At 37.7% G+C, this 12,079-nt stretch overlaps 1 protein-coding gene across 3 annotated transcripts in view; it reads right to left on the reverse strand.

Annotated features, from left to right (window-relative positions):
• The window catches only part of GRID1 (glutamate ionotropic receptor delta type subunit 1), a 767,244-nt gene that overhangs the window by 113,189 nt on the left and 641,976 nt on the right, over window positions 1–12,079 (reverse strand). For all 3 annotated transcript variants that reach the window (NM_017551.3, XM_047425122.1, XM_047425123.1), the window contains 2 exons: window positions 11,612–11,936; window positions 10,263–10,401 (listed from right to left, as the gene is read on the reverse strand). In NM_017551.3, the coding sequence (NP_060021.1) occupies window positions 10,263–10,401; window positions 11,612–11,936 (464 nt within the window). The remainder of the gene's footprint in view (window positions 1–10,262; window positions 10,402–11,611; window positions 11,937–12,079) is intronic.

The raw sequence follows: 12,079 nt of genomic DNA on the forward strand, positions 1-12,079 counted from the left end.
ATGAAACTAGAAATCAATAACCGGAGGAAAATAAGAAAATTTATAAAATGTGGAAATTAAACACATCCCTGAAACAACAAGTAGATCATAGAAAAAATCAAAAGGGATACTAAAAAAAATTCTTGAGGCAAATAAAAATGGAAACACAAACATACCAAAAATAATAGGATGCAGCAAGAGCCCCTCTAAGAAGGAAGTTAATGTTGATTAAAACTACATTAAAAAAGAAACCTTTTAAATATTCTAACTTTATATCTCAAGGAACTACAAAAAGAAGAACAAACGAAGCCCAAAGTTAGCAGAAAGAGGAAAATAATAAAGATCGGGGCAGAAATAAATAAAATAGAGACTAGAAAGACACTACCAAAGGTCAATGAAACTAAGATTGGCTTTTTTGGAAAGATAAACAAAATTGGAAAACCTTTAGCTAGACTAAGAAAAAGGTGGGAAGTTTCAAAGAAAAAAAATTATAAATGAAAAAGAAGCAACCAATACCACAGAAATAGAAAGGGTCATAAGAGAACACTATAAACAATTTTTCAACAGCAAACTGAATAATTTCGAAGAAATGGATAAATTTCTAGAAACGTACAACCTACTGAGACTGATTGCTGAAGAAATAGAAAATCTGAGCATACTAATAGTGGGTAATAAGATTGAAACAGTAATCAGAAACCTCCCAAGAAAGAAAAATGCCAATCCTTCTCAAACACTTCCAAAAAAATTGAAGGGAACACTTTCAAACTCATTTTACAAGACCACCATTACACCTTTATATCAAAGCCTGACAAGGAATCTTCAAGAAAAGAAAACTACAGGCTAATATCCCAGATGAGCATAGATGTGCAAATCTTCAACAAAATGCTAACAAACCTAATTCAATAGCACATTAAAAAAAAAAAAAACATATCCCATGATCAAGTGGAACTTACCCCCAGGATGCAAGAATGGCTTAACATACAAAAATCAAGATATGAGATACACTACATTAACAAAATGAGGGAAACAAATTATATATTCATCTCAAAAGATGTAGAAAAATCATTAGAGAAAATTTAACATCTTTCATGATAAAAATTTTCAGCAAATTAAGACTAAATGTCATGTACCTTAACATCATAAAGGCTATATATGAAGCCTATGGCTAACATCATACTCAGCAGTAAAAAGCTAAAAGCATTTCCTGCAAGATCAGGAACAAAACAAGGGTGCCCACTCTCACCATATCTATTCAACATAGAACTGGAAGGCATGGTCAGAACAATTAGGCAATACAAAGAAATAAAAGATAAAGAAAATGTGATACATATACACCACGGAATACTATGCAGCCATAAAAAAGAAGAAGATAATATTCTTTGCAGCAACATGGATAGAGCTAAAGGCCATTATTCGAAGCAAACTAACAGAGGAACAGAAAACTAAATACCACATGTTTTTACTTATAAATGGAAGTTAAACAACAAGAACACATGGATAGATACGAGAGGAACAACAGAACTGGGACCTATTTGAGGGTGGAGGTTAGGAGGAAGGAGCGTATCAGAAAAAAATGGCTATCAAGTACTATGTTTATCTGAGTGATGAAATTATCTGTACATCAAACCCCCATGACATACAGTTTATCTATAAACAAACCTGTACATGTACCCCGAACCTAAAAGTTTTTTTTTAAAAAAAGAAATAAAAGACATTCAAATCAGAGAGAAAGAAGTAAAACTGCATATATTTGCAGATGACGTGATCTATAAAGAAAATCCTTGACCTCACCAAACAAATGCAGGAACTAATAATAGTGCAGTAAATTTGCAGGATACAAAATAAACATACAAAAATCAGGAATATTTCTATAAACTAACAACAACGTATTTGCAAACAAATCAAAAAACAATTCTATTTAAAATAGCATAAAAATAAAATTCTGGTGTATAAATTACACCAAGGAGGTGAAAAATCTGTATGCCATGCTGTAAACTATAAAACATTGGTGAAAAAACTGAAGAAGACACAAATAAATGGAAAGATGTCCTATATTCATGGATTGGAAAAATTAATACTATTAATATGTTAATACCACCCAAAGTGATCTATAGATTTGGTATAACCCCTACCAAAATACCAATGACATTCTTCACAGAAATGGAAAAAAAATCGTAAAATTCCTGTGACCACAAAAGTCCTCTGAATACCAATGCAATCTTAAACAAGAGAAGCAAATCTGAAGACATCACACTACCTGATTTCGAAATACAGTATAGAGTATAGTAATTAAAACAATATAGTATTGGCATAAAAACAGATATATAGACGAATGAAAGAGAATACAGCCTAGAAATAAATTCACACATTTACAGTCAATTGATCTTTGACAAAGTTGCAAAGAACACACAATGGGGAAGACAGTCTCTTTAGTAAATGATGTTGGAGAAACTGAATATCTGCACACAAAAGAATGAAAATAGACTCTTATTTCACACCATACACAAAAATCAACTCAAAATAAATTAAAAACTTAAATGTAAGAGCTGAAGCTGTAAAACTTCCAGAAGAAAAAAAGCTTTTTGACATTGGTCTGGGGCGTGATTTTTTGGATGTGACCCAAAAGCACAGGCAACAAAAGCAACAATAGATAAATGGGACTGAATCAAATTTTAAAATCCTACACATAGCAAAGTAAACAATCTACAAAGTGAAGAGACAACTTGCAAAATGACAGAAAATCAAATAATGTGCTAATATCCAAAATATATAAGGAAATCAAAAACTCACTAACCACAAAACAAATAGTTTAATTTAAAAATGGGCAAGGACCTGAATAGACATTTCTCAAAAGAAGACATATAAATGACCAAAAGATATACGAAAAAATATTCAACATAACTAATCATCAGGGAAATACAAATGAAAACTACAATGAGGTATCACCTTACACCTGTTAGAATGGCTATGATAAAAAAAAGACAAAAGATAACAAGTGATGATGAGAATATGGAAAACAGTATGGCAATTTCTCAAAAACTTAAATATAGAAGTACCGTATGATCCAGTGATCCTACTTCTTAATACAGAGCCAAAGAAGATGAAATCAGTATCTTGAAGAGATATTTGTCTGCACTACCATGTTCATTGCAGCATTATTAGAAATTGGCAAGATATAGAACTAACCTTTTTTTTTTTTTCTTTTGAGACGGAGTCTAACTCTATTGCCCAGGCTGGAGTGCAGTGGCATGATCTCGGCTCACTGCAACCTCCACCTCTCAGGTTCAAGTGATTCTCCTGCCTCAGCCTCCTGAGTAGCTGGGATCACAGGTGCCCGCCACCATGCCTGGCTGCTTTTTGTATTTTTACTAGAGACTGGGTTTCACCATGTTTGCCAGGCTGGTCTTGAACTCCTGACCTCAGGTGATTCACCAGTCTCAGCCTCCCAAAGTGCTCGATTACAGGCGTGAGACACTGCACCCAGCCAGAATCAACCTAACTTTTTATCTGCAAATAATTGGACATTATTGTCCCTTTGTAGGGACATGGATGAAGCTGGAAACCATCATTCTGAGCAAACTATCGCAAGGACAAAAAAAACAAACACCGCATGTTCTCACTCATAGGTGGGAATTGAACAATGAGAACACATGGACACAGGAAGGGCAACATCACACACCGGGGACTGTTGTGGGGTGGGCGGAGGCGGGAGGGATAGCATTGGGAGATATACCTAATGCTAAATGACGAGTTAATGGGTGCAGCACACCAACATGGCACATGTATACATATGTAACAAACCTGCACGTTGTGCACATGTACCCTAAAACTTAAAGTATAATAATAATAAAATAAAATAAAAAAGAAAATGTGATATATTATATATGTACATATATAACGTATATAAATGTGATTATATATTATATATACACATATACAATGTACATAATGTAATTATTTGTATATATTATATATACATATATAATATATAAATGTGATACATTATATATAATTAATATATACAATATATAAATAAAATATATTTCCATTGTGACAACATGGGTGAACCTAGAGGATATTATGTTACGTTAACTCAAATATTATATTATGTTAACTCAAATAAGCTAGGCACAGAAAGACACATACTGAATGCTCTCACTTATATTTGGAATCTAAAGAGTCAAACTCATAGAAGCGGAGAGTTTATTGGTTGCCAGAGAATGGTGGTTGCCAGGGACTGGAGTGTGGGGGAATTATGAGCTTTTTGTCAAAGAGTACAGAATTTCAGTTAGGTATGATGAATAAGATCTGGAGATATAATGTACAGCATGGTGCTATAGTTAATAAAATTGTGTTATACATTTGAGATTGGCTAAAACAGCAGATCTTAAATATTCTCATCACATGCAAAAAACTGATAACTGTGTGAGGTAACAGATATGTTACTTAGCTTCATTTTAGTAATCATTTCGTAGTGCACATGCAAACGGTATATTCAATGGAAGAAGAACAGTCTTTTCAACAAATAGTGCTGGAGGAATTAAGTGTCTGTATTAGTTTGTTTTCATGCTGCTGATAAAGACATACCTGAAACTGGGAACAAAAAAAAAAAAGGTTTAATTGGACTTAAAGTTCCAAATGGCTGGGGAGGCCTCAGAATCATGATGGGAGGCAAAAGGCTCTTCTTACATGGCGTAGGCAAGAGAAAATGAGGGAGAAGCAAAAGCAGAAAGCCCTGATAAACCCATCAGATCTCGTGAGACTATTCGCTATCACAAGAATAGCATGGGAAAGGCCGGCCCCCATGATTCAATTACCTCTCCCTGGATCCCTCCTGGGAATTCTGGGAGATACAATTCAAGCTGAGATTTGGATGGAGGCAGAGCCAAACCATATTATTCCATTCCTGGCCCCTCCAAATGTCATGTCCTCACATTTCAAAAGGAATCATGCCTTCCCAACAATCCTCCAAAGTCTTAACTCATTTCAGCATTAATCCAAAAGTTCACAGTCCAAAGTCTCATCTGAGACAAGGCAAGTCCCTTCCACTCATGAGCCTGTAAAATCAAAAGCAAGCTAGTTACTTCCTAGATACAATGGAGATACAGGTATTGGGTAAATACAGCCATTCTAAATGGGAGAAATTGGCCACAACAAAGGGGTTACAGGGCCCATGCAAGTCCGAAATCCAGTGGGCAGTCAGATTTTAAGCTCCAAAATGATCTTTGACTCCAGGTCTCACATCCAAGACACACTGATGCAAAAGGTTGGTTTCCATGGTCTTGGGCAACTCCGCCCCTGTGGCTTTGCAGGGTACAGCCTCCCTCATGGCTGCTTTCATGGGCTGGCATTGAGTGTCTGTGGCTTTTCCAGGCACACGGTGCAAGCTGTTAGTGGATTTACCATTCTGTGGTCAGGAGGATGGTGGCCCTCTTCTCACAGCTCCGCTAGGCAGTGCCCCAGTAGGGACTCTGTGTAGGGACTCCACATGACACATTTCCCTTCCGCATTGCCCTAGCAGAGGTTCTCCATGAGGGCCTCGCTTCTGAAGCAAACTTTTGCCTGGGCATCCAGGCATTTCTACACATCTTCTGAAATCTAGGCAAAGGTTCTCAAACCTCAACTCCTGACTCCTTGATTTCCACATATGGAGTCCACACCCCAGTAGGGACTCCAACCCCACATTTCCCTTCCACACTGCCCTAGCAGAGGTTCTCCATGAGGGCCTTGCCCCCGCAGCAAACTTCTGCCTGGGCATCCAGGCGTTTCTATACATCTTCTGAAATCTAGGCAGAGGTTCCTGAACCTCAATTCTTCACTTCTGTGCACCTGCAGGCTCAACACCACGTGAAAGCTGCCAAGGCTTGGGGCTTCCACCCTCTGAAGCCACAGCCCAAGCTCTGTGTTGGCCCCTTTCAGCCATGGTGGGAGCATTTGGGACACAGGGCACAAAGTCCCTAGGTTGCACACAGCACAGGGACCTAGGGCCCAGCCCATGACACCACATTTTGCTCCTGGGCCTCTGGGCCTGTGATGGGAGGGGCTGCCATGAAGGTCTCTGACATGGCCTGGAGACATTTTCCCCACGGTCTTGGGGATTAACAGTAGGCTCCTTGCTACTTGTGCAAATTTCTGCAGCTGGCTTGAATTTCTCCTCAAAACATGGGTGTTTCTTTTCTACTGCTTTGTCAGGCAGCAAATTTTCTGAATTTTTATGCTGTTTTCCTTTTAAAATGGAATGCTTTTAACAGCACCCAAGTCACCTCTTGAATGCTTTGCTGCTTAGAAATTTCCTCCACCAGATGCCCTAAATCATCTCTCTCAAGTTCAAAGTTTCACAAATCTCTAGGGCAGGGGCGAAATGCCGCTAGTCTCTTTGCTAAAACATAACAAGAGTCACCTTTGCTCCAGTTCCCGATAAGTTCCTCATCTCCACTTGAGACCACCTCAGCCTGGACCTTATTGTTTGTTTCACTATCAGCATTTTTGTCAAAGCCATTCAACAAGTCTCTAGGAGGTTCCAAACTTTCCCACATTTTTCTGTCTTCTTCTGAGCCGTCCAAACTGTTCCAACCTCTGCCTGTTACCCAATTCCAAAGTCGCTTCTACATTTTTGGGTATCTTTTCAGCAATGCCCCTCATTCAGTACCAATTTACTGTATTAGTTTGTTTTCACACTGCTGATAAAGACATACCCAAAACTGGGAACAAAAAAAAAGTTTTAATTGGACTTACAGTTTCACATGGATGGGGAAGCCTCAGAATCATGGTGGGAGGTGAAAGGCTCTTCTTACATGGTGGTGGCAAGAGAAAATGAGGAAGAAGCAAAAGCAGAAACCCCTGATAAACCCACATCAGATCTCGTGAGACTTATGCACTGTCATGAGAATAGCACAGGAAAGACAGGCCCCTATGATTCAATTACCTCTCCCTGGGTCCCTCCCACAACACGTGGGAATTCTGGGAAATATAATTCAGGTTGAGATTCGGGTGGGGGCACAGCCAAACCATATCAGTATCCATAGACTGAAAAAAAAGCCCTCAGCCTATGCCTCAAACTTCATACAGAAATTCACTCAAAATTGATTGTGGAATGAAATGTAAAATGTAAAAATATAAAAATGTTAGGAATTTTAAAACAAGAGAAAATCTTAAGGATCTCTGGATAGACAAAGACTTAACATCAAAAGAATGATCCGTGAAAGAACAAATTTCTAAATTTGACCTCATCAAAATTAAAACATTTTCTCAGTGAAAGACCCTGTTTACATCAAAATATCATGTTGTATACTGTAAATTTTTATTTGTCAATAATACCTCAAAAAGAAAAAATAAATAAATAAACTTAGCAAAAGATCAGGATAATAGTAAATGGTTACTTGCTTTATCAATGTTTTTGAGGAAAATATTTAGCCAACTAATTATTGAGCTGGGTTCAAACTCAGTCCACTATTAGAGTCACTGATACTTTGTTATTTATTAATTATTAAATGGGAAAATTTTAATTAATTGTGTTCTGTTAATTTTTCAGTTAGTCGATTTGCTCTGAATACAATTCTGAAATCCTTTAGGTGATAATTTTGAAAATAACAAAAAATACAAATGAGAAAAAATTTATATATATAGATGCACGTCCTAGAATAGCTAAAATAATGCTAACAAAGAAGATTAAAATGGGAGGAATCACTCTACCCTATAGTAAGGCTTACGCTATAGCTACTGTAATCATGATAGTATGGTGTTGGCAAAGGGACAATCACATATAACAATGGAACAGAATAGACAATTTAGATACATACAAATATGTCCAACTGTTTTCTCACAAAATACAAAAGCAATTCCATGGAGGACGGATAGCCTTTTCAACAAATAGTATTAAAGCTATTGGGCATCCATAGACCAAAACAAACAGACAAAAAAAAAAAAGAAAGAAAGAAAGAAAAGAAAAGAAGAGAAAAAAAAACCCCAAAACTCTCAACCTAAACCTCAAACTTTATAAAATTATCTCAAAATTGATTGTGGACTGAATTGTAAAATGCAAACGTTTTCAGTAAAAAATAAAAGTAGAAAATCTTCGGGGTCTCAGGCTAGGAAAAGACTTGACATCAAAAGCGTGATTCGTGAAATAAATAATTCTCTAAATTGAACCTCATCAAAATTAAAACCTTTTCATGGTGAAAAGACAAGAGTTTGAAAAGACAAGCTATAGAGTGGCAGCAAATATTTGCTGACCGCATATCTGACAAAGAACTAGTGTCTAAAATATATGAAGAACTTTCAAAACTCAAAAGTAATAAGCAATCCATTTAGAAAAGATAAAAACAGATATTTTATTGAAGGGGATATATACATAGCAAATAAGCACAAAAAAAGGTGTGCAACATCATTAGTCATTCAGGAATTGCAAAATAAAACCACAATGAAGTATGACTCCACACCTATCAGAATGGTAAAATGAAAAATAATGGCAACACCAAATGTCAGGAAAGATGCAGAGAAACTGGATTATTCTTACATCACTGGCAGAAATATAAAATGATACAGACACGCTGGAAAGCAGTTTGATACTTTCTTACAATACCCAACATGAACTTGCCATATGATCCAGCAATTGCACTCTTGGGTGTTTATCACATGTAAATGAAAACTCATGTTCATGCAAAAACCTGCACGCAAATGTTCATGGCAGCTTTTTTCATAATTGCCAAGAATTGGAAGCAACCCAGATGTCCTCCAATGGGGGAATAGTTAGACAAACTGTGGTATATGTGATATTACTCATATGTGGTATATGTGATATAATCAAAGCAGTGAACTACTAATACACATGAAAACGTGGACGAATCTCTAAGGAATTATGTTGAGTAAAAAAACCAAAGCCAAAAGGCATTATTCCATTTATATCACATACTGAAATGACAAAATTTTAGAGATGGAGTACAATTAATGGTTGCCAGAGTTGGGGACAGAGTGTCAGGGGAAGAAATGTGAAAAATATTTGGGTGGTTATAAAAGGACAACACAAAGGATCCTTGTGGTGATAGATCTGTTCAGTATTTTTACTGTGGTGCAGATACACAAGTTTATAAGTGATAAAATAGTATAGACCCGAATGCACACATACATATACACAGACACACAGAGAGATGAGTACAAGAGGGGAACAGTGAATAAAATCAGTCAACTGTATCAGTGTCAATACCCTGGTTTTGATATAATATTAGACTTTTGCAAAATGTTACCATTGAGAAAAGTGGGTAAAGGATCCCAGGAGACCTCTCTGCATTATTTCTTACAACTACATATGAATCTATAATTATCTCAATAAAAATGTCAATTTAATAAAGATATTAGACAATATCATACTGAATCTTGAATCCTAGGCAAGGAGTTTAAACTCTTTTCAATAGCTAGTTGAGACCCATAGAGGCTGGTTGAGTATGGACGACTTGATTAAGAGCTATGGATCAAAAGAACCAATATGATGACAGTGAGTGTGATGAATTAAAGGGATGTTACTAAAGGCAGTGAGTCAAAAAACCATAATCAGCGATCAAGTTAGAGGCAATATTGAAGCCAATATTGTACCCAATGAAGTGTACAACAGATCCATGCCTATGACCACTTCAACAACCACACATCCAACCAAATTCACTCTGTCCAAGTTCTTTTTTTTGTAATTTACACTATTTTTGGGAATCTGATCATAAAATACAGTCACTTCCAAGAGTTATTTCGCTATATTGAGCTCATTCTTTTATGCCATAATCTTAACATTTTGTAAACATGAAGACACATTTTTAGTCTTGGTTTCAATAATTTTATAATCATATAAATGTGCATGAAATATGTTTTCTACTTATTGTGGCAATTGGCATTTTTGAAAAAAATTATTTTAAGGTGTTCGAAGATTGAAAAAAGCATATATTAGACTTCTGGTTTAAATTAATTTTAACTAAATATTTATAAAATTTTGATTAAATAAGTTTGTAATCAATGTTTAAATGTCTGAGAAAATGTAATTTGTTAATTGATTTCTTAGCTTTGTAGCCAGCATTAAATTTTCAGGAAATATTATTTAATGAATTTATACATTTATGTAATTGTGCCTGAGATAAAATACAACAGGAGTGAAGCTCTTCTCCATGCACTAAAGATTCCAGGAGACCATCAGTTTGCAGATCAGGGCTCTCTCCATCATACCACACTGCCCTGGAAAGGTTTACATCCTCTTTAAAGCCTCTCTGAGCTGCTGGCTCCAGATCAAGGAGGAATAGGCTTACCTTATGGGGTTGTCCATCCTGGACACTGTGAGGAAGGCAGCAAGGTTGGCTGTGTAGGAGGAGCACACAATGAGCGTGAAGAGCCACCAGCTGCCCATCACGATGCGCATGGCCATGGAGTTCACGGAAGATTCGCCACCTGCGGGAGGCAGACAAAGTGGATTGGCCAGTGGCTTCTGCTCTCCCTCCTATCCCCAGGGAGGTGTTCTGCCCTGCAGCCAGGCACACAGGCCATCACTCGTGATGGGCTGGAACCAGGGAGGTGACTGTCAGCTGGGTCTGGGCATCTGTGCCAATTCTGGGATAGGATCCTAAAACCATGGATCTTGGACAAGGGCAGAGGACCACAAAATATGAAAAAGTTAGGACTGGGCTTCTAGTGGTGCGAAGGTTGTCAAAACACCAAGGGTTGGGGTCTGAATATCAAAATCTTTCAGTTAGAAGATTCTACCTCACAGTGGTAAGAACTTCTAGGGCTGCAGCCTTATGTAAGATCCCTTTCCAATTTCAAATTCATATATAGCAGACTCGGGAATTCTGTAAATATAGAAATAACTCCTACTACATGGAGGGATCCCTGGCTTTCTTTTAAACCTGAGAAATGAGATGTCCCATATCACTTTTATTAGTATTCAGCCCTCATTAGATGGCTTTTCTTCCCCCAGAATTCTCAGAAATCAGGGCATGAGACTTTTAGTTAGAAGTTTAGCCTCTTTGAGGCCAATTATTTCTCCTTGGTCTCTAAAGTGTTAGGAGAAGAGAGCTTCTCACTGCTTATTCTCCTTACATAACCTCACAAAGCATTTGCCATGGTGCAAACAGGATGAAGACTCACATTAGAAACTTTGCAATTTGTTGCTCCAGTCAAAATGGCACAATCCTATAACTCACTAGTGGATAGAAGTACCATCCAGACCCCTCAGAGGTAGGAGAATTTGTACCTCAAGAATGGCTGAAGTACTGCTTAAATGATTGCAATACAATTGGGATTTTTTTTCCCCATTAAGTCATCAAATTTAAGCAAGATTCACAGTTTCATTGACAACCTCATGTGCATAGCAATCACTTTAATGTAGGAGGAGAGAAAAGTGCAAAGCAGGACTCCAAAGTTAATTTTATCTAAAGTGGAGAATCAGGAATTGAAGTTGAGCTCCTTATTGTTGTTTCATTTAATTTCTCTCTGATATTATTCAGAGAAATTGGGTGCAGCATGACATTTGTACTGTCCTAGAGATTAAGTAAAATTGCATTTGGAATGACTTTGGTAAAATGCACCTGAGAACTTTGCCAATGGATAAGTTCTTCCAGGCCCCTAGAGCTATTCAATGATCAGGAAACCAGAAAGGTACCTTGCTGTACGAAGGCTCCATAGACAATCCAGATGGCGCTGTGCAGAGTGGCAGAAGCTGACGGCCTGGGCTGGGCAGCACTCTGAGCCCTCACAGCCTGTATCCTGTTCAACACAAATATCAGCACACCAACCACAGGGATGGCTGCTGCAATGCAGGCCCACACAGCGAAATCAAATGGAGCAAAGAGGGAGAAGATGCTGATTTTCTCCTCGGGCTTCTTAATTAGAATCCCCACTGAATAGTCCATGTACCGCTTGCTGAAGTCCACAACGCTCTCCCTCTCTGGGGTGATGGTGATGGCAGAGATGGCCAAGTCTGCTCTCTGAAAGGCAAAGCCATCTCATTTAGACGGCAGTCCTCAGCTTACTGCTGGGTTCTGCCCTGGGTCAAGGTCCACCCTCTGTCCTTTGAGTTGCTCTGTTCAGAGGAATGGATTTGAGAGCTGGCACCCTGAGAGTCTGAATA

Source organism: Homo sapiens, chromosome 10 (genome assembly GCF_000001405.40).
Source record: "Homo sapiens chromosome 10, GRCh38.p14 Primary Assembly".
Taxonomy (NCBI): Eukaryota; Metazoa; Chordata; class Mammalia; order Primates; family Hominidae; genus Homo; species Homo sapiens.